The sequence below is a fragment of the Homo sapiens genome, chromosome 12 (genome assembly GCF_000001405.40).
Source record: "Homo sapiens chromosome 12, GRCh38.p14 Primary Assembly".
In the NCBI taxonomy this organism is placed as follows: Eukaryota; Metazoa; Chordata; class Mammalia; order Primates; family Hominidae; genus Homo; species Homo sapiens.
The window spans coordinates 31,873,563-31,897,307 of NC_000012.12; the positions used below are offsets into that span (position 1 = coordinate 31,873,563).

Genomic DNA, 23,745 nt, shown 5'->3' on the forward strand with positions numbered 1-23,745 from the left:
AGGTCTTCAGGCTTGAAGGTGAGGTCTTTGCCAGGGATCCACCCTCTTCTAACCAGTATTTTCCCTGTCCCCTGTCCGTATCAGAAGCAGATGCAGATACAAGAAAACTTCTCTGCCTGCCCTCCATATTTGCCTAAAAGCAGGACATAATTTTTGTTTGTTTGTTTGTTTTTTGACACAGGGTCTCGCACTGTCACCAGGCTGGAGTGCAGTGGTGTAAACATGGCTCCCTGCAGCCTCAACCTCCTGAGCTCAAGCAATCCTCCCACCTCTGCCTCCCAAAGTGCTAGGATTACAGGCATGAGCCATCACGCCAGCCAGGACACAAATTTTTTTTTTTGAGACAGAGTCTCGCTCTGTCGCCCAGGCTGGAATGCAGGGGCGCAATCTCGGCTCACTGCAAGCTCCACCTCCCAGGTTCACGCCATTCTCCTGCCTCAGCCTCCCACGTAGCTGAGACTACAGGCGCCCGCCACCATGTCCAGCTAATTTTGTTTTTTGTATTTTTAGTAGAGAGGGAGTTTCACTGTGTTAACCAGGATGGTCTCGATCTCCCGACCTCGTGATCCACCCGCCTCGGCCTCCCAAAGTGCTGGGATTACAGGCGTGAGCCACCACGCCTGGTTCACCAGGACAAAAATTTTTAAAGGTGTCTGCCCTTCCCTTTCTACCAGGAAGGACCAAAGTTAATCACTGGAGACAACTGTAGATTCTTATCAGCCCAGAGATGACACCAGAGGAATCTACATTTCAAACTTCATTAACTAGCTCTTACCATCTATTAGTTCCCCCATTTAAACATATTTACTTTCCCACAATTTATCACCCTAGAAACTTAAAGTCGTTTTCCTTTGTATTATCATTTCTCTACAAATGTTCTTTCTTATGAAGCTAGAAAAAACTGAGGCATGGTTTAAACGTCAAATAATTTATCTGAGCCAAATGTGAGTGACTGCAGTCTGAAAACACTTCCAGGTTACCTTGAGAAGTGCTCCAGAAATCAAAAAAGAGACTCGGGCCTTAAAAGAAAAAAAGGATGAATCAGGAAAGGGGCGACTAGAAAAGTTGTTTTTCGCTAGGTCTGGGGCTTTGGGGAGGTGGGTTTCCCATTTGCAAAATGGAACTTTAAAAGTCCACGGCACCTAACATTTCCAAGCTCCTCTAAATCTTCCAGGAAGCACAGGAGATGCAGGGCAGATGGGAGCATTCTCATCCTGCAGATAAACAGGCCTGGGGTCAGCTGGGAGGTTGGAAAGGCAGGCACTAGAATACCAGGTACTGGGTGAGTGAAAGCACAGTGTGACCTGGCAAGGGAAGGGGAGGCGAGAGCAAAGCAGTTGCTGTCTCTCCAGTTTCTCCTTCACTAACCACCTCAGCCCAGGGCCTGGAAAGAAAAAGAACTTAAGGACTTCCACAGGCTGAGACTGGATGCTGAAGGTGGACAGTGGCTCACACACCTTCTTGAAGTCAAGTGGCTCCTCCCCTGCCCACCAGATGCCAAGAGGGTCTGTTGGACCCAGACCTGTGGTGACAGCTACAAGAGAAGGAGGAGACACCAAAGTTGAGTTTGCTTTATAAGTGACATTGCAGGCTGGGCTGCAGTGGGGGGGCAGGATGAAGATTCAGGCTGTACTTTTCAAGGGACCAAGGGCTTGGGATCCACATAGGCCTCCCACACCGTCAGATGTCAGCTCCATCAATACTGAAAGACAATAGGAGATGAGGTAGGGAGGGGGTGAGAACGTGGGGAGAGGGAAGGGAGGTGGTGGGAAAGAGAGGAAGGAAGAGGTGAGGAAAGGCAAGGAGGAAAGGGAAGGGAAAAAAAAGTTGTTTTTCAACTATTATGATCAGTGTGATCGTATCTAAAGCAGTCTTGGAGTCAGGAGACAGGCTGTAATTGTTTAAAAGGTGGCCTGTTCCTGGGGACTTCCCAGCTCAGCAGGAAGCAGTCACAGATGTTTTGGCAGTTGTTTAGCCAGGAAGTTCTCTGCTTAAGACATGCGTGGGGTGGCTGGGCGCCGTGACTCATGCCTGTAATCCTGGCACTTTGGGAGGCAGAGGTAGGGGGATTGCTTGAGCCCAGGAGTTCTAAACCAGCCTGGGCAACGTAGTAGGACCTTGTCTCTATAAATAAATAATTAATTTAATTTTTTTTTTAAAAAGACAGGCCTGAGGTCCAAACCGAAATGGCCTCCCGACTCCATTTTATGTGCTTTGACTAACCCGTCACTGTTTCCCTTCATCATTTTGTTAAGATGCTGGACAAGCCCCAGTTCTAGCCACCCTTTTTAGTTACTCATCACTGAATGCTCCCATGTGTATACAGGCAGCACATGTTAAAAAACTTTTTCGGCCAGGCGCGGTGGCTCACGCCTGTAATCCAGCACTTTGGGAGGCCAAGGCGTGCGGATCACGAGGTCAGGAGATCGAGACCATCCTGGCTAACAAGGTGAAACCCCGTCTCTACTAAAAATACGAAAAAAATTAGCTGGGCGTGGTGGCGGGCGCCTGTAGTCCCAGCTACTTGGGAGGCTGAGGCAGGAGAATGGTGTGAACCCAGAAGGCAGAGCTTGCAGTGAGCTGAGATGGGGCCACTGCACTGCACTCCAGCCTGGGTGACAGAGCAAGACTCCGTCTCAAAAATAAATAAATAAATAAATAAAAATAAACTTTTTCTTGGCCGGGCACGGTGGCTCACGCCTGTAATGCCAACACTTTGGGAGGCCGAGGCGGGCGGATCACCTGAGGTTGGGAGTTCGAGACCAGCCTGACCAACATGGAGAAACCCCATCTCTACTAAAAATACAAAATTAGCTGGTCATGGTGACGCATGCCTGTAGTCCCAGCTACTCGGGAGGCTGAGGCAGGAGAATCACTTGAACCTGAGAGGCGGAGGTTGCGGTGAGCTGAGATGGCACCATTGCACTCCAGCCTGGACAACAAGAGCGAAACTCCGTCTCAAAAAATAATAATAATACAAATAAAAAAATAAAAAATAAATAAAATAAAATAAAAACGTTTTTATCTTGTTAATCTGTCTTTTGTCAATCTAATTTACAGGGCCCAGCCTGTAAATCTAAAATGAGTAGAAGGAAAAAGAATTTTTCCCCTCCTGGGCAGAACACTCTTGGGCACGTGAGCCTTGGCTTCTTAACCACATATCTGAGCAGCCAGTGTGGCAGTGGTGAGTGGCAGTGGAGAGACTCCAGGAAGCAGCCATTTCCCTATCCTGGGTGCTTCCTGTTTCTGTCTAATGCTACACATAGTCCATGGTTTCAGTATGTTGTATGTGTTTGATTGTCAATCCCTGTAATTACATCCTACCTAAAATATGCATTTTTGTTCCCGGAACCAAGCCGGGTCCGGCTGCATTTTCTTGAGGCCCAATAACGAGAAGCAGACAGACTAGGAAAGAAGGGAATTTATTGCTGTAACCAGATACAGGCAGAAGGCTGGAGATAATTCCACCAGGCCAACTCAAAGTGTCAACAATTGTCTTAGTGTTTATATAGGTTGGGGTTATGCGCCTGTGTGCAGTGTAGCATTTGCCTAAGTCTACTGGTAACTAATTTTGTTTCAACTAGAAGGTCAGAGGCAAAAATGCTTTCTAAGTCGGATTAAGCTGTGAGCGGCCCAGTACCTACAAGGCCTGTCTACTGTGGTACCAGAGTGATTATTTCTATCTTATCTGCTTTACAGCTTGGTCTGGAGGGCTGCCTTAGACTCTCCAATGAATCTATTCGAACAGCTGCCTCTGTTACCTTGACTGTCTCAGATTTCGTTGACCCGAGACGGGTCCTGGCACTAGGAATGAAAGACTGTCTCTATTATTTTGGTTTGCTCCAGGTTAGGGAGAAGCCCACGCAAGGCTCCTACTGACCATATGTTTCATTTCTAGCTTTGCTGTCTGGGCACCAATTTCCCTAGGTTTAACTATTTGCTCAATGTTAAGGCAGCTCTGGGGAAATTCGTCTGTGTAACTGGGGTGCTATGCAGGCCTGTCTGTTTGACTGTCATGCAGGTCTGTCTGTGTGATCATCAGGGAGAATCGGCCGGCCACATTTTCAATCTTTCTCCTCTTCTGGAAAAAATAACCACTCAGTCTTTAGCGTCAGCTCACCCTTCAGGGTTTGACACCTGGAGCAGCAGTCAAAGAAGCTGAAAACACGACCTTCCTTTCTAGGTGTTAACTTTAGCCACTGTGGTAGATGGTCCAGAAAGATGACCACTGCTAATTCCTTTCCTCCCTGAATGTGCATACTGTTGCAGCCATCAGAGGCGGAGTCGGTTTCCTTCCCTTGAATTCCGTCTGGTTTTGCGACTTCCCTTGACTAATAAACAGAATGAGGTGGAAGTTAAAGGGAATCACAACCCACCCTATGGTACAATGATTCTTTTAAGACATTCAAGTTATAGATGCAGAAAGAAGCCTCTTCTGAGCTTCCCTTATCTGACTATAGGCAGGGCCTTTGGAGAATGAAGCTGCCATAAATCCCCTCTCTGGGGGAGCTTCCAGCCAGGAAGGAGCCTGACTGTTAGCACCTGGGTGAGAAATTGCATAAACAAACATTATCATAAACTGTAATACCTGCCATTGGTTTCCCTAAAAGCCCATTTGTACTTCCCACAGAAGCTCTAGCTTTCCCGCTCCTTCTGCCTATTAAATTGTTGTTGTAATATACCCTTACCCCTAGCTGTTCAGCAAGCTACTGCTTTCTAATGCTGTCACATGTATGAATATAAAGCATGTTCTTTTTCCCTCTAGTTAAACTGTCTAATGTCAGGAAATTTGCAGGCCCACTTCCTCCCCCCACCACCACTTGAACCTAATTTAGTGATGGAAAGGTTTTATTCCCAGTATAGTTGTGTTTTATGTTCCTGTTCTAGGCTTAAATTTTCAGGGGCCTGGAAGCTTCCATTTTTGTTTCAGGAAGCTAGATGCTATGCTTTGAAGAAGCTCAGCCAAGACAACTGGAAGAGAAGAGACTACATGGAGAGAGAAAGGCCACGTGGAGGACCACTGGGGCTCCACGCATTGAGTGAAGCCTTTTTGGACTTTTGAGCCAGCCAACTAATAAGAAGTAAAACCAACACTGTGGAGTGGCAAACAAAAGAAAATGCATTTTAATCTGGGTCTCAGGAATTGCAATTGGGAGACACAGATCCAGCAAATAGGAAAATCATGTTCCGTCTTGGTGAGATTAGGCAGAGGCTTAGAAGGACTACTGTGAGTTTACACATCTGGAAGGTTTTAGCATAGTTCATAATGGATGATGGCTGGTTAACAATTTAGTACGTCTTTGATGATCAATCTAGTTCAGCATAGCTGTCTCTTGTCGGTAAAAAAAAAAAAAAAAAAAAGCCAATCTCTGCAAAATATTTAAAGAGCTTTATTCTGAGCCCATATGAGTGACCATGGCCCAGGGAACAGTCTAAAAGAGGTCCTGAGAAAGTGTGCCTGAGGTGGTTGAATTACAGCTTGGTTTTATACATTGTAGGGAGACAGAAGTTATAGGCAAAGACAAATCAATACATCTAAGGTATACATTGGTTTGGCCAGGAAAGGCGGGACAGCTTAAGGAAGGAGCAATACAGGTCATAGGTGGATTCAAAGATTTTCTGATTTGGAATTGGTCAAAAGAGTTAAGCTGAAGACTTAAAGTCAGGCCGGGCGTGGTGGCTCACGCCTATAATCCCAGCACTTTGGGAGGCCGAGGCGGGCGGATCACAAGGTCAGGAGATCGAGACCATCCTGGCTAACATGGTGAAACCCGTCTCTACTAAAAATACAAAAAAAAAAAAATTAGCCAGGCGTGGTGGTGGACACCTGTAGTCCCAGCTACTCGGGAGGCTGAGGCAGGAGAATGGCGTGAACCCAGGAGGCAGAGCTTGCAGTGAACCAAGATTGCACCACTGCACTCCAGCCTGGGTGACAGAGCGACACTCCATCTCAAAAAAAAAAAAAAAAAAAAAAAGACAAAGTCAGTAGAAAGAAATGCTTGGGTTGAGATAAGGGGGGGTGGGCTGTGATTCTTGTTATATAGATGAAGCCTCAGATAGCAGGCTTCAGAGAGAATAGATGGTAAACGTCTCTTTTGGAATTTCACAGGTGTCAGACTCTTAGTTAATCTCTGCTAGATCTGGGAAAAGCCTAGCTGCATTAATAAAGATCCTCTACAGATGCAAAATTTCTTTCTCAAAAGATGGCTTCTCAGGACCATTTCAAAATATGCCAAAGAAATATATTTTGAGGTAAAATATTTTAATTTTCTTCAAGGTCTGTTATCTGTCATGTGATATTATACCAGTTGGAATTTGGTATCTTCTTACCAAAGAGTCTGTTTTTGTCAGTCTTATGATCTCTATTTTAATATTAATGCTGGTCTGTTATACCTAAACTTTAAAAGGGAGAGAGTATAATGAGGTACGTCCAACCCTTCCTTCCCATCATGGCCTGGAATTTAGTTTTTCAGCTTGCTCTGGGGTCCCCTCGGCCTAGACAGCTGTCTGTTCAGTTGGTTGGGGGCTTAGGATATAATTTTTGGTTTACACTCTTCAGGTTGATGATCAGGCAAAGCATAAACAGTTCAAATCAAATGCAGCTGGTTTTACAATTTGGCCCAGTTACAGTCAGATTTCATCTGAGGGTCCAACTCTTCATGCCTTCTCAACTCAACTGTTAGATACCTCCAACAAAACCATCAACCATCTCCATTGTGGATTTTCTTGTCAGAACCCCAGCCCATCGTCTCACTGAAGCCATCCTAGTGAGTGACCATGGCTGTCACCACATGAACTAAAAGAACCATCAAGCCAAGCCCTGTCTAGTGTCCAGACCTACAGAAACAGGAGCAGTTTGGAGTGGTTTATTATCTAGCAATAGATAACTGAAGTAGCTACAAAGATAACTTTAGCATGATTTCCAGGCAAAGTGCTCTCTCCTCAGAATTTGTAAGATTCCTCCAAAGAGCAGCTGTAGAGCTGTTAAGTATCCAATCCAAACAGATGGGAGAAAAGATAAAGCTCTTGACAAGCTGCTGTGGAAAATACCAATTCATGTTATCTCTGCCTTCCTGGGAACTTGCAAATGAACCAGCCCTCAAATGCAGCTCTGGATATGACAAACCATCCCAGATGGACCCCTAAAGTTCCCCAATAGCTTTGTATCTTTCAAAACCACATAAATCTTAGAATCTACAGTTTAGGTTTTTGTTTGTTTGTTTGTTTTAGACAGAGTTTTGCTCTTGTTGCCCAGGCTGGAGTGCAATGACGTGATCTCGGCTCACTGCAAGCTCTGCCTCCTGGGTTCAAGTGATTCTCCTGCCTCAACGTTCCAAGTAGCTGGGATTACAGGCACGTGCCACCAGGCCCAGCTAATTTTTTGTATTTTTAGTAGAGACAGGGTTTCACCATGTTGGCCAGGCTGGTCTCAAACTCCTGACCTCAGGTGATCCATCTGCCTTGGCCTCCCAAAATGCTGGGATTACAGGTGTGAGCCACTGCTCTTGGCCCAGTTTAGGGTTTATAGTGTGCCAAACTACGAGATCCCTTCCAGTTCTGCTTATCTTAATGTAAAAGGACATTAAATATAAATAATATAAATTATATAATTAATGACAATTAAAATTATTTTTAAGTTAATTGTTTTTGTTTTTGTTTGAGACTGAGTCTCACTCTATCGCCCAGGCTGGAGTGCAGTGGCACGATCTCGGCTCACTGTAACCTCTGCCTCCTGGGTTCAAGCAATTCTCCTGCCTCAGCCTCCCGAGTAGCTGGGATTACAAGCGAGTGCCACCATGCCTGGCTAATTTTTATATTTTTAGTAGAGGCCGGGTTTCACCGTGTTGGCCAGGCTGGTCTTGAACCTCTGACCTTAGGTGATCCACCCACCTCGGCCTCCCAAAGTTCTGGGATTACAGGCATGCACCACCGTGCCCGGCCTGCTAATTGGTTTTTTAACTAAAGAAATAATTTATGGAGAATCAAACATAAAAAGGTATAAGACAAAAAGAAAAAGTCAAATGGTGTCAAAGAATGGTGTCCCAGACTCCCAAGCAGGAATCCTTGCAGAAATTTTCCATGTTTATACAATAACCACCATAAACATTGAACATTTACTACGTGTCAAGTACTCTCCTAAACACTTTATATGCATTAATTCAGCAGAAAGCAAATTTTTTATGTTAAAGTTACATAGCAAATATTTTAGGCTTTGTAGAGCACTTGGTCTCCGTTGCAACTAATCAACACTTTGTTGTAGTAAGAAAGCAGCTATAGGGAGTATGTAAACTAACGGATGCAGCTATGTTCCAATAAAACTTTATTTAAAAAAACAAGCTATAGCGCCAGGCGCAGTGGCTCACGCCAGTAATCCTAGCACTTTGGGAGGCCAAGGCAGGCAGATCACGAGGTCAGGAGATCGAGACCATCCTGGCCAACATGGTGAAATCCCATCTCTACTAAAAATACAAAAATTAACTGGGCATGGTGGTGCGTGCCTGAAGTCCCAGCTACTTGGGAGGCTGAGACAGGAAAATCACTTGAACCCAGGAGGCGGAGGTTACAGTGAGCTGACATTGGGCCACTGCACTCCAGCCTGGTGACAGAGCGAGACCCCATCTCAAAAAAAAGCAAACAAGCAACAGCCAGATTTGGCCTATGGCTATTAGTTTGCTAACTCCTGAATTATACTCATGTAATAGTCAAAAAAACCTTATGAGGATTATTATCATAACACCATTTTACAGATAAGGAACCAGGGATAGATACAAAAACAGAGAACTCAAGTAAATTGCCCAACAAGTTATCAAGTAGTGAAACTGAGATGTAATCCCAGGCTGTCTAGCTCCAGAGTGTTTTTTAGACACTATTTTTTAAAGCACACATGTATGCATGTATGTCTTTAAAATTTTTATTTTATTTATTTATTTTTTGAGATAGGGTCTCACTCTGTTGCCCCAGCTGGAGTACAGTGGCATGAACACAGCACACTGCAACCTCGACCTCCCAGACTCAAGCGATCCTCCTCTCTCAGCCTCCTAAGCAGCTAAGACCACAAACATGCACCACCATGCCTTGCTAATTTTTTAAATTTTGTAGAGCCAGGTCTTGACCTGTTGCCCAGGCTGGTCTTGAACTCCTGGTGAGAGCTGAAGCCAGCTGGACTTCCTGGGTTGAGTGGGGCCTTGGAGAACTTTTCTGTCTAGCTAGGGGATTGTAAACGCACCAATCAGCGCTCTGTGTCTAGCTAAAGGATTGTAAATGCACCAATCAGCACTCTGTAAAAACATACCAATCAGTACTCTGTGTCTAGCTAACGGATTGTAAATGCACCAATCAGCACTCTGTAAAAATGTACCAATCAGCGCTCTGTGTCTAGCTAAAGGATTGTAAACGCACCAATCAGCACTCGGTAAAATGGACCAATCAGTGCTCTGTAAAATGGACCAATCAGCAGGATGTGGGTGGGGCCAAATAAGGGAATAAAAGCTGGCCACCCCCCCAGCCAGCAGTGGCAACCCACTCAGGTCACCTTCCATGCTGTGGAAGCTTTTTTCTTTTGCTCTTTACAATAAATCTTGCTGCTGCTGACTCTTTGGGTCTGCACCACCTTTAAGAGCTGTAACACCATGAAGGTTGGCAGCTTCATTCTTGAAGTCAGCAAGACCATGAACTCACTGGAAGGTAGAAACTCTGGACATATCTGAAGGAACAAACTCCTGACACACCATCTTTAAGAGCTGTAACACTCACCACGAAGGTCTGCAGCTTCATTCTTGAACTCAGTGAGACCAAGAACCCACCAGAAGGAACCAATTCTGGACATGCTGGCATCAAGTCATCTGCTCACCTTGGCCTCCCAAAGTGCTGGGATTAGAGATGTGAGCCACTGCGCCTGGCTGTGCTGTTTTGTTTTGTTTGTTGTTGTTTTTTAATTTGAGATGGCGTCTCGCTCTGTCACCCAGGCTGTAGTACAGTGGCGCAATCTCAGCTCCCTGCAACCTCTGCCTCCTGGGTTGAAGCGATTCTCCTGCCTCGGCCTCCCGAGTAGCTGGGACTACAGGCTCATGCCACCATGCCCAGCTAATTTTTTGTATTTTTAGTAGAGACAGGGTTTCACCATGTTAGCCCGGATGGTCTCAAATCTCCTCACCTCCTTACCTCAAGATCTGCCCACCTCAGCCTCCCAAAGTGCTGGGATTACAGGCGTGAGCCACCACGCCCGGCCTATGTGTATTTTTTTTTTTTTAACTCATACTGTACATGCTGTTTGGCATCTTGCTTTTCTCACTTAACAATATCTTGCCTATCTTTCCACGTATATAAATCTACCTCGTTCCTTTAATTTGCTGTATAGTATTCCATTGTATGAATCACCAATCAATAAATACCTAGATTGTTTCTGTGCATTTTCCCTTAAAAGCAATGCTTCACTGAGTATCCTTGTGCTGAGGTATTTGCCTGCAGACGCTCACACAGCTAAGAATGAAGGAAAAATTATTATAAATAAAATGGTTGGACCAGGTGAGGTGGCTCACACCTATAATCCCCACACTTTGGGAAGCTGAAACGGGAGGATCACTTGTGGCTAGAAGTTCGAGGCCAGCCTAGGCAGCAAAGTGAGACCTCATCTGTACAAAAAATAAAATTAGGCCGGGCGCAGTGGCTCACGCCTGCAATCCCAGCATTTTGGGAGGCCGAGGTGGGCGGATCATGAGATCAGGAGATCGAGACCGTCCTGGCTAACACAGTGAAACCCCATCTCTACTAAAAACAATACACAAAAATTAGCCGGGCGTGGTGGCGGGCGCCTGTAGTCCCAGCTACTTGGGAGGCTGAGGCAGGAGAATGGTGTGAACCTGGGAGTCGGAGCTTGCAGTAAGCCGAGATCACGCCACTGCACTCCAGTCTGGGTGACAGAGCGAGACTCCGTCTCACAAAAAAAAAACAAAAAAAAAACCCAAAATACAAAATTAGCCGAGTGTGGTGGCACAGGCCTGTAATCCCAACTACTCAGGAGGCTGAGGCAGGAGAATCGTTTGAACCCAGTAGGTGGTGGTTGTGGTGAGCCAAGATGGCGCCATTACACTCCAGCCTGGGCAACAAGAATGAAACAGTGTCCCCCACTCAAAAAAAAAAAAAAAAGATCAGCAACAAGATAAAACCACCAAGGGCTAGAGGGACAAATTGAGGAGCCGGTGTGACCAGAGGCTAGAAGCTGGGTGGGAAGGGCTGTCCTGCCTGGTGGGAGCTGGGTCATATATGAGACAGATGCAGCCGCTGCTGGGAAGACCCCCAGATGCAGAAAGGGGAAAGAAATATGCTGGCTCTCCCATTCAATTATTCACCCTTCAGTCTCCTGCCAGCACTTTCCATTGGCTGATTCTAAATAAAAGCCAGTTAGCAAAGGGGCTTAGGAACTGTAGTTTGCAGGGCTCAGCCTCTGTGGGACAGAGCAGAGCAGAAGGGTAGGGAATGGGTTGGAAAGCAAACAGGAAATGACTGATGTAAAGAATATTGTGTTTTACATTTTGAAATACTATGCAGCCATAAAAAAGAATGAGTTCAATGTCCTTTGCAGGGACATGGATGAAGCTGGAAACCATCATTCTCAGCGAACTAACACAGGAACGGAAAACTAAACACCGCATATTCTCACTCATAAGTGGGAGTTGAACAATGAGAACACAAGAACACAGGGAGGGGAACATCACACCCTGGAGCCTGTCAGGGGGTGGGGGGCAAGGGGAAGGAGAGCATTAGGACAAATACCTAATGCATGCGGGGCTTAAAACCTAGATGACGGGTTGTTGGGTGCAGCAAACCACCATGGCACATGTATACCTATGTAACAAACCTGCACGTTCAGCACATGTATCCCAGAACTTAAAGTATAAAAAAAAAAAATGCCAAATTGCCCACCAATGCAGCTACAAAGATTTATAGTTCCAAGTATGTCTATTTTCCAGCAAATTCCCCAGCACCATGGAGATTTATCCATCTAAGTTAAAATGGTTTTCTGCTATTTTAATTTGCATTTCCTTAATTATGAATGCAGTTGAACATCTTCTCATTTGTTTATATGCCATATTTATTTTGTTTAGTATTTAATGCATGCTATTTAATATTTATTTTTATTTTAACAGTAGGTTTATATCTTTTGCCAATTTTCTTTTTAAAAAAACTTTTTTCCCAAATTCAAACGAGTGTCAGTAGAATGCCAATTTTCCTATTAAGTTGTTGGACTTATTACTTGTAAGAAATATATGTGCCAATCTTAAGTGTTGCAAATATTTTTCCCCAGAATGCTCTTTGCTTTTTAACATTTTAGTCACATGTTTTACTATGCTGTTTTTAATTTTTATGTAGCCAAACATAAATCTTTTTCTTCTTCTATATCCTCTGGATTAAAGATTTTGTCTTTTGCTTAAAAAGGCCTTTTCCTCAAGATTATACAAATATTGGAATGGAGGAATATTTTTAAATTTTCTTCTGTGTTTTCTCTGCTCTAGACAAAGACTAGCCCTTTGGGTCTCTTTATTCTCCCAGGTTAAAAGCTGTTTGGTTTGAGAATATTCTCTTGTACATCCTGCATTCTGTCCTCATTAATCTCCAAAGGAATTTCTTAATTAACGAGAGAAACCCTTTTTCTCTCATCTGAGATATACAATGTAGTTAGCTTGGAAACTCTGACAAGCCTCCTTTTCTATCTCTGAGCATCTCCTCTGCCTTGTCAACTCTTGTACGCTATCAACTAGTCTAAGTTTCTATTCCAGGATGTGGATTGTAATGAAGAAGGCCTTGAATTAAAAGGGACTTGGAGACAATATTGAAATATGACTAGAGGCTCAGTTCTCCAATATATGCAAAAGTTTTCTTCTCTGCAGTAGAGATGGTGCCTACAATGATTTCACAATTCTAGCCGGTACTATGAGGTTCATAAAAACATGGTCCACAAATTCAGGAACCATGTGTGTTTGTGTTTAACTGCTGTATTCCTGGCATTTTGCATGGTACATGGTATGGCAATGATCCTCAAAAAATATTTACTGATTTGAAGATTCTTTAAGTCAGAATGATTTGTATCTTCTCCAGCATATCTGGATCCTAAGGGGTGATGCCAACAAGAGTCCTGGAGAAAAGTGTTTCTGTTATAACGTGGCATGGTTAGGGCCTGAAGTATACATTTGCTTATATTTGCTGTATACCTTTGTGCTTTGCTCTCTTAATGATCCCCCAAAAGCTCCTTTCCCGCCTTCCCCAGGCCACAATGTTGCAGAAAAAAAGTTCAAGAATTGCTAACTTGACTGTGACTTGAAATGATTAAAATGCATGCTTAGAAACCAGTTTCTTAAACCAGTTTCTTAATTCACAAAGACTAGATAAAATCACAGCTGGGAATAGGAAGGAGATAGAAGAACAAGCAGCTTGATTGCAGGGGAAAGTGAAAGGAAATAGAGACTTAAAGGAAGAAGAAAGGAGAAAAAGATCTTCCATCATGAAGGCTGAATGATAGGGGAAATTTTTCACACACCCCTATAAACAAACACAGAATCTGAGGACAATCCACATCCCACCTTTGTAGACATTTAAAGTCACCCTACCTTGATGAGGAGGAACTCAGATGCCTTGAGTTGAAAATGGCCCAACTGTCTGATAGAACTGGTATTTGTGGTTTCTTTTGAATAAAAGAAAGAAACTGAAAGAAAACTGACCCTCCCAGTCTTAAAACTTGAGAAAGTTACATTTGTCTTAATCTGAGTTCCTTCCTCATGAAGCCAACCATCAGGCCTCCCAGATATTATCAAGGAACTGAAACTTACCAGATCACTGCATCTGGACAATGAGGAGCCAGACCCCTCACCCATCATGATTGCCTAAGCAACCACCTGCTTCTTGTTGACCAACTCCTCCCCTTTACCCCTCCCTAATTCTTGTTTTCCCAAAAATGGTTACATTTCTTTTCTGTTATACAAACCCTTAATTTTAATCAGTCAGGGAGATGGATTTGGGACTGATCTAGAACTCATCTCCCATCTCCTCAGCTGCAGCACCCAACTAAAGCCTTCTTCCCTGGCAATACCCATTGTCTCAGTGATCAAGCAGCAGTACCTAGACAGAACCCCTGGCATTTCGGTAACAGGGCGAATAAATGGATGTGCAAGGAAAACCTCTTCATCTTAAATAAAGGGCAGATGAACACTAAGCCTTAGGATGGTGCCAATGAACACATGTTGGGTTGTTTCCACTTTTTGACTATTATGAATAATGCTGTTATGAACATTGTATACAAGTAGAGGAAGGAGTCTAAAGGCCCAGGGAAACAAGAATGATGCATGAATCTGTTATGAACAGCCTGCCCTGCCACTCTGAAAGACAGTCATCCCTGGAAGAGCCTGGAGGACGTCCCCTATACCCAGGCATTACAGATGCAACAGTAAGGAGACTTGAGCATTCTTATAAAACTGTGTTGCAGCTGTTCTTTGCCAGCAGGAGATGGTGGCAAAGGATGTTGCCATGGAATTGAATTTCCTGATCTCAGCTGGAATAAAGGATCCAGGAGTGGTAGAGGCCAGTTGCAATCCTTAGCTTGCAGTGACAAGGTGTCTTAGTCAGTTTGGGTTTAGTCAGTCAGAATACCATAGATGGGTACTTAAACAACGAACATTTATTGCTCAAGTTCTGGAGACTGGAAGTCCTGAGATTAGGGTGCCAGCATGGCTGGTTTGCAGTAAAGGCTTGCCTCCTGGTTCACAGATGGCTGTCTTCTCACATGGCAAAGAGAGTGAGAGCTCTTCTCTTTCTCTTCTCTAAGGACACTAATCCTATAGCAGGAGCTCCACCCTCATGAGCTCATCTATACCTAATTATTTCCCAAAGACCCCACTTCCTAATACCATCCCATTGGCGGTTAGGGTTTCAACTTACGGATTTTGGGGGAACACAAATTGCATAACACAAGGTGAGTACAATTACCAGAGTAACCCACAGGGATGAAGTGTGTACGATCACAGGGTATGAACTTTCGGGATATGTAACATCGTGTAATCAGTCATAAGACTGTAGGAATTAAATACAAGGGCAGCCCAAAGTACTTCTTCACATATCCAGGCAATGATTCTAGGTCTAGTGGGCAGAAACCTAGTTTAAGTCACTGTAGTGGGAATTCACACACTCTTAGCCAGTTTCTCAAACTAAGCTAGTTCAGACTTGGAGCCCGAAAGCACACTGCAATGTGACCACAGGTGTGTTTTGTGGATCTTCAGTAAAACATTCCCCAGAAATAAGTAGGGCCATTTCCCAGTGTGACTATAAACTGGAGACAGGTAAATATTTTTTTTGGTGGAGGGGGGGGCTAATTGATTTTGGCTCTGAACTGATGCTAATCCATGGAGACACAAAATAAAGTAAGATGAAATGAAACAAACGCAACAACAACAAATCCAGCATAGTCCACCACTCAGAGTAGAAGTTTACAGAACCCAGGTGATAGATGGAACCTTGACCAGAGTCAGTTTCCCAGTGTGTCCAATGGCGTGATGGAGCCATTCAGTGGTTACTTCTCTAGTCTCAGAATGAACGGTGGGAAAAGGTATATTTAGCAACTGTTCTTTGATTGATGAAGCGAGGGAGGGCTATTATATTAAGAACATTCAAGTGAAAGCCTCTGAAAATCCTCAGATCACCAAAATAGTGTTCCCAAAGTAACTCTGCAATCTGGGGGAAATTCAGTGGCGACAGTTGTGCAACGGTGAGTGTACGTAATGCCACCGAATGTTACACTTAAAAACGGTTAAAAAAGGCCGGGCACGGTGGCTCACGCCTGTAATCCCAGCACTTTGGGAGGCTGAGGCGGGCGGATCACGAGGTCAGGAGATCGAGACCTTCCTGGCTAACACAGTGAAACCCCGTCTCTATTAAAAATACAAAAAATTGGCTGGGCGCGGTGGCTCACGCCTGTAATCCCAGCACTTTGGGAGGCCAAGACGGGTGGATCACGAGGTCAAGAGTTCGAGACCATCCTGGCTAACACGGTGAAACCCCGTCTCTACTAAAAATACAAAAACAAAAGTAGCCGGGCATGGTGGTGGGCGCCTGTAGTCCCAGCTACTCAGGAGGCTGAGGCAGGATAATGGCGTGAACCCAGGAGGCGGAGCTTGCAGTGACTGAGATCGCGCCACTGCACTCCAGCCTGGGCGACAGAGGGAGACTCTGTCTCAAAAAAAAAAAAATTAGCCGGGCGTGGTGGCGGGCGCCTGTAGTCCCAGCTACTCGGGAGGCTGAGGCAGGAGAATGGTGAGAACCGGGGAGGCAGGGCTTGCAGAGAGCTGAGATCGTGCCACTGCACTCCAGCGTGGGCAACAAAGCAAGACTCTGTCTCAAAAAAAAAAAAAAAAAGTTAAAATGTTAAATTTTATGTAATATATACTTTGTCACAATAAAAAAGTAAATGATCATAAACAGCTCTATTGTTTTAACTTGTACATATCGTGTTTCTTTCATTTTAAAGTAGAAACAGTAGCTATTTAAAATCAAAAGATAATTTCAAACATTGCTTGTTGTCATTGAATTCAAGAAGAAAACTTTAAAAAAGAAAAACCACACAAAACTAAAAATAATAAGGCCAGGCGTTGGTGGTTCACACCTGTAATCCTAGCACTTTGGAAGGCCAAGGCAGGTGGATCACCTGAGGTCAGGAGTTCAAGACCAACCCGGCCAACACAGCAAAACCTGGTCTCTAGTAAAAATACAAAAATTAGCCGGGCATGGTGGTGCACACCTGTAATCCCAGCTACTCAGGAGGCTGAGGTGGGAAAATTACTTGAAACCGGGAGGCGGAGTTTGCAGTGAGCAGAGATTGTGACACTGAACTCCAGCCTGGGTGACAGAGCAAGACTCCCTCTTGAAAAAAATAAATAAATAAATAAGTAAAATAAATAAATAATAAAGTGTACTCCATATGTATTCAATTTGTTTTATTTTTGTTTGTATGAACATATACAACACAAATTTAAAATATATAAGTAATTAATTGTGGAAAATGGGATCTATCGTGAGGATAAAGCAAAGTTATGCAACAAGATGAAGCAACAAAAAGTGATTTTTGAGGATGATTGCAAATTATCTTAAGTAATTTAGAAAGTTCACAATTTCCTGAGCTTTAACAGCATTAACAGGAAGCATTAAGAACAAGGATGTGGTTAGGTGTCTATTGGTTTGTCAGAAAGACATGTAACATGAAAACCACTGACATTAAGAGACAGGTAGCAGCTTTAATAATTTACCAGCCTTGTATTTCTTCACATTCTTGTTTCAGAGATAGTTTGAAAACAGTCCAAAAGGAAGATAATTCCAAATTCCTGAGGATTTTCCCCAAGTGTTGAGTGTACTATATAAAGTGATAACAGAGGATTATGTGGATGCATAACCCAGTGGCAACGAATTCCATTTTGGCCGTGAACTACTGAACAGATTCACTGAATGTGTTCATTTGCTGAACAAATCTTATTTCAGCAAATGACAAAATAAGATTTGTTCAGCACATCTCATGTGAGTGCTCACATAGCGTGGGCTCTGTGGTCAGACAAACACTAGGCACTTCTCTTGGTGTTATCACCTTAAGCTGTGTGCCTTGGGGAAAGTTACTCAATTTCTCATTCCCTCCATTTCCTCGTGCACAAAATGGCAGAAAATAAAGGTGTTGTGATGATTAAATGAGATACTGTATACAATATTCTCAGTACAATGCCCAGCACATGGTGAGCCTTCAAGAAATGCTATCTACTAGTCCTACGTGCAATGCACTGTGGAGAGGGCTAAAAATGACATGTGTGGCACGAGTTGCAGTTTAATCCTGTGCTCCACTTACTCTAAGATTCAGGTATGTGTTGCACTAGTTGGACTAGTGGCCAGGGGTCAGAGGAAAATAAGAACCTCCCGAAAATGTCTTCCCTTATTCTAGAGGAAGACAGAGTTAAGAAGAAAAGCTTTAGCTCAAGGAAAGGGCATTAGAGTTAAAATGGAGGGAAAAAATATCTACTAATCAGAATATTCTACTGGCCACAGTCTCTGACCTTCTGGCAATTAAAATTTTAAAGTTAAAGATTACTTAAAATTGGCTGGGTGTGGTGGCTCACGCCTGTAATCCCAGCACTTTGTGAGGCCGAGGTGGGTGGATCACAAGGTCAGGAGTTCGAGACCAGCCTGACCAACATGGTGAAACCCCGTCTCTACTAAAAATACAAAAATTAACCAAGCGTGGTGGTGGGCATCTGTAATCCCAGCTACTCGGGAGGCTGAGGCAGGAGAATCTCTTGAAATCAGAAGGCGGAGGTTGCAGTGAGCCGAGATCATGCCACTACACTCCAGCCTGGGCAACAAGAGCAAAACTCTGTCTCAAAAAAAAAAAAAAAAAGATTACTTAAAATTTACTTGGAAACTTAAAAGTGCACCATTAAGTAACTCCTGGGACCAAGCAGATGTCATGAGAAAAATTAAGAAATATTTGCCACTTCATCAGTTATAAGACAAAAAAAATTTTTTTTTAAATTTTAAGACATACTTAAATTGAGTGATAATGAATGATATGGTTGGGTCTGTGTCCCTGCCCAAATCTCATGACAAATTGTAATCCCCAATGTTGGAGGCGGGGTCTGGTGGGAAATGATTGGATCTTGTACGCAAATTTCCCCTTTGGTGCTGTTCTCGTGATAGTGAGTGGATTATCAGGAGATCTGGTTGTTTAAAAGTGTGTAGCACCTCCCCACTCTCTCTATTCCTCGTGCTCTGGCCCTGTAAGACGTGCCTGCTTCTCTTTTGTCTTTCACCATGATTGAAAGTTTCCTGAGGCCTCCCCAGCATGCTTCCTGTACAGCCTGTGGAACCGTGAGCCAATTAAGCCTCTTTTATTTAAAAATTACCCAGTTTCCAGTGGCACACACCTGTAATCCCAGAACTTTGGGAAGCTGAGGTGGGTGGATCACCTGAGGTCAGGAGTTCAAGGCCAGCCTGACCAACATGGAAAAACCCCGTCTCTACTAAAAATACAAAATTAGCCAGGCATAGTGGCGCATGCCTGTAATCCCAGCTACTTGGGATGCTGAGGCAGGAGAATTGTTTGAACTCTGGAGGCAGAGGTTGTGGTGAGCCAAGATCGTGCCACTGCACTCCAGCCTGGTCAACAAGAGCAAAACTCCGTTTCAAAAAAAAAAAAAAAGAAAAATTACCCAGTTTCAGGTATTTCTTTATAGTAGTGCAAGAATGGACTAATACAATGAAAACACCAAACATCAGGCTGGGTGTGGTGGCTCATGCTTGCAATCTCAGCACTTTGGGAGCCTGAGGTGGGAGGATCACTTGAGGCCAGGAGTTCAAGACCAGCCTGGGCAATATAGTGAGACCCAATTGCTACAAAAAAAATTAAAATTAGCTGGGTGTGGTGGCAAGCACTTGTATTCTCAGCTACTTGGGAGGTTGAGGCAGGCAGGAGGAGCACTTGAGCCCATGAATTTGAGATTGCAGTGAGTATGATAGTACCACTGCACTCCAGCCTGGGCAACACAGCAAGACCCTGTCTCAAAAAAAAGACAGTTCTAAAAAATGAACATAAGGTATAAACACCAACATTCAACATGTACACACACACACACACACACACACACACACACACACGCAGTTGGCCCTCTGTATTTGTGGGTTCCACATCTGGGGATTCAACCAACCACAGATAAAAAATATTTGGAAACTAAAAATTCCACCCTGCGCTTCTGGACCTCAGCACCAGCCCCAGGGCTGCTCTAGGGGCCACATGGCTGAAGGGAGCGCAAGGAGCTACCAGAGGCAGAATGAAGAGACTGAAGCAATGACAGCCACTTATTTTGAGGAATTACGTGTCATTGATGACTATGCCAAAACATTTTGTATTAGAATTAGTGATGATATTGATTACCCCAAATGGACACTTTGCTCATAGGTGATGCTACTGAATTAATATACAGGTACAGCTCCACCTACTTATTAGTAGGTAAGACTCTTGGCTTAAAGGACAAGAATGTGCAGATTTATCAAATGGGCTTGAGAAAATACAATTCAGAATATTGGTGAAAGTATTCTTTACCTGTGGGTGGAGAAAATAAGAGATGCTCGGCCACGCGCAGTGGCTCATGCCTGTAATCCCAGCACTTTGGGAGGCCGAGGTGGACGGATCACGAGGTCAGGAGATAGAGACCATCCTGGATAAGATGGTGAAACCCCATCTCTACTAAAAATACAAAAAATTAGCCAGGCGTGGTGGCACGCACTTGTAATCCCAGCTACTCAGGAGGCTGAGGCAGGAGAATCGCTTGAACCCGGGAGGCAGAAGTTGCAGTGAGCAGAGATCGAGCCGCTGCACTCCAGCCTGGGCAACAGAGGGAGAAAAAAAAAAAAAAAACAACTCTAGGGGAATGGAAATACCTGATTTCCATTCCATTTCATTGAGACACTCACACTGTTAAAGGAATATTGCCTTTTTTTTCTTTTTTCTTTTTTGATTATATAAATAGAGATGCGTCTCATTATGTTGCCCAGGCTGGTCTTAAATACTGGGACTCAAGTGATCCTCCCACCTCAGCCTCACAAAGTGTTGGGATTACAGGCATGAGCCTTTGTGCCTGACCCATTTTTTGTTTTGTTTTGTTTTGAGACAGAATCTTGCTCTGTTACCTAGGCTGGAGTGTAGTGGCGCGATCTCAGCTCACTGCAACCTCTGCCTCCTGGGTTCAAGCAATTCTCCTGCCTCAGCCTCCCAGGTAGCTGGGACTACAGATGCCTGCCACCACATCTGGTTAATTTTTTGTATTTTTAGTAGAGATGGCATTTCACCATTTTGCCCAGGCTGGTCTTGAACTCCTGACCTCAGGTGGTCCACCTGCCTCCAGCCTCCCAAAGCACTGAGATTACAGGCATGAGCCACCGTGCCTGGCCCTGTCTGGCCTTTTTACTGCTTTTTATGGCTTATTGAAATAGCTTGTATTAGTCCTTTCTCATACTACTCTCATACTAAGAACACATCCAAGACTGGGTAATTTAGAAAGGAAAGAAGTTTAACTGACTCACAGTTCAGCATGGCTGAGGAGGCCTTAGGAAACTGATGATCATGGTGGAAAGGGAAGCAAACATGTTCTTCTTCACAGGGCAGCAGGAAGGAGAATGAGGGTCAAGTGAAGCAGCAAGCTCCTTATAAAACTATCAAATCTCGTGAGAACTTACTATCACAACAATAGCATGGGAGAAACTGCCACCATGATTCAATTACATCCCACCGGGTCCCTTACACAACATGTGGGGACTATGGGAACTAAAATTCAAGATGAGATTTGGGTGCAGCCACAGCCAAACCCTATAATTCTGCCCCTGGCCCCTCTCAAATCTCCTGTCTTCACATTTCTTTTTTCTTTTTTTTTTTTTTTTTTTTTTTTTTTGAGATAGAGTCTCACTCTGTCACCAGGCTGGATTGCAGTGGCACAAGCTTGGCTCACTGCAACCTCCACCTCCTGGGTTCTAGCCATTCTCCTGCCTCAGCCTCTGCAGTAACTGGGACTACAGGCGCATGCCACCACACATGGCTAATTATTGTATTTTTAGTAGAGACGGGGTTTCACCATGTTGGCCAGGATGGTCTCGAACTCCTGACCTCAGGTGATCTGCCTGCCTCAGCCTCCCGAATGCTGGGATTACAGGCATGAGCCACACTGCACCTGGCCGATGATAAACCTTTGAAAGCTAAAAAGCAAAGAGATGATTGCAGACTAACTCAGAAGAACTGAGAAAGCTGAATTATGTGGCAACAGTAGAGAAAAATTGAAAACAGAAATGATTATATTGTAGAATCACAAACAGACCCAGATCTTCTACCTGCTCTCATGCTGCTGGATGACTGTTTCTCCCTAGTTTCAGCAGAAGTTGGAGTCTGTGGACTGGGAAACATCAAGTACAGCTGAGAGCTTTGATACCAAACAAAAATGGAGGTTTACACAATCACATGCTTGCTGATTGCTAAGCCCCTGCCTCCTGCCTCACAGCCTTCATCAATCATTTAGTGCCCAAACCATGTCAGCCAGATCTTTACCCTCTAGGAAGGGGATTGTCACACCTTTCTCTCAGGAATCAAAGCAGCCCAAGAGGAAAGAAGAGAAACTGATAAGATTACCCAACAAATAAATGGCCCTACAGTAAACTCAGAAATACAAGAGCTCTCCATATACTGCAAACTTCCAATCAGCTGTAGTCCTTCATTCCTCATCGTAAGAAACCAAAAATTACCAGAACTCTAAAGTAAGCCTCTATCATGCAAGACAAAAAGCACACAAGCAGGGAAAGCACCTTGGAGAAACAGAATACTATGTGGATGAAAGAAAACTAACTCATGTTCAGTCAAAGCTTCTCATAAAAGACCAGGTGCCGGTTGGGCGCGGTGGCTCCCTCACTCACTTTGGGAGGCCGAGGGAGGTGTATCACAAGGTCAAGAGATCGAGACCATCCTGGCTAACATGGTAAAACCCCATCTCTACTGAAAATACAAAAATTAGCTGGGCATGGTGGCGGTCGCCTGTAGTCCCAGCTACTCAGGAGGCTGAGGCAGGAGAATCACTTGAACTCAGGGGGTGCAGGTTACAGTGAGCCGAGAGCGCCACTGCATTCCAGCCTGGGTGACAGAGCGAGACTCCATCTCAAAAAAATAAATAAATAAAAGACCAGGCCCGGTGGCTTACACCTGTAATCCTAGCACTTTAGGAGGCTGAGGCGGGCGGATCACTTGAGGTCAGGAGTTTGAGATCAGCCTGGCCAACATGGTGAAACCCCGTCGGAGTGAGACTCTGTCTCAAAAAAAAAGAAAGTTTCTCATAAAAGAGCAGCAAAGAAATCTGTTATGGTTAAAACATAGAACAAACAAATAACAAATAACAATAACTAAGGAAGCTTAGTTTATTAGAAATGTGCCAGGCAAGGGAGATAGTGAGCAAATGGAGTCAGTCAAATGGACGCCGAGTAGCTTTAACATTTGAGTTTTATACAGTTTCACTGAGGAGGCGTTAGCCAAAGGATGCTTTTAGGGCGGGGATAACAAGAGTTGGGGGAGGGGCAGGAAGGAAGGGTAGAGTTAGGGCAGGAAAGAATTGGTCAAAAGTTGCAAAGTTGAGTCACTGACTGTGTCGATAGGCTAGGCAAGGCTGTCTGTGAAAAAGTCTGTGGTTTTGTTTCCTGAACACCTGGGTCCAAGCTGAGCTGTTGCTGACATAGTTTATCTGTCTTGCAAATTGTGGTCTCTGTACTGTTTTTCAAGTTGTGGTTTCTGTAGTTTTCCATTTCTCAGTCTTGAGAAAGATAAGATAAGAAAAGATACTGCATTCTGAAAACAAGAACAAGATGTTATTTTGTAAAAAGAGGAACATTCAGAGAACAAGAAGAAATTTTAGACGTTAAAGACATGATAAGAAATGAACATTTTAATGAAGAATTGAAAGATAAAATTGAGGAAATTACACAGAAAGCGTGGCAAAAAGACAAGGAGATAGGAAATGAGAGAAAAAAGGTAAGAAAATTTATGAAATCTATGAAGTTCAGCAGCCAAATAATAGAATTTCCAGGAAGAGTAAAACAGAGGGGAAGAAATCAACAATGAAATAGTTCAGGCTGGGCGTGGTGGCTCACACCTGAAATCCTAGCACTTTGGGAGGCTGAGGCGGGCGGATTGCCTGAGCTCAG

General features: G+C 44.0%; 1 long non-coding RNA gene across 1 annotated transcript, besides 2 other annotated features; it reads right to left on the reverse strand.

The window, feature by feature from the left end:
* Positions 1,853-2,147: an enhancer, noted in NCBI's record as "tiled region #8897; HepG2 Activating non-DNase unmatched - State 24:Quies, and K562 Activating non-DNase unmatched - State 8:EnhW". NCBI's record gives its function as "activates a minimal TATA promoter and a strong SV40 promoter by Sharpr-MPRA in HepG2 and K562 cells {active_cell/tissue: HepG2 | K562}" and the evidence as "EXISTENCE:reporter gene assay evidence [ECO:0000049][PMID:27701403]".
* LINC02422 (long intergenic non-protein coding RNA 2422) lies at positions 3,407-13,641 on the reverse strand. Its single transcript, NR_135029.1, has 2 exons — positions 13,605-13,641; positions 3,407-4,331 (listed from the first exon to the last, which is right to left on the reverse strand). It is a non-coding gene; the product is annotated as a long intergenic non-protein coding RNA 2422 (long non-coding RNA).
* Positions 22,420-22,519: a silencer, noted in NCBI's record as "silent region_4331". NCBI's record gives its function as "represses an Ori minimal core promoter by ATAC-STARR-seq in GM12878 lymphoblastoid cells {active_cell/tissue: GM12878}" and the evidence as "EXISTENCE:reporter gene assay evidence [ECO:0000049][PMID:35858748]".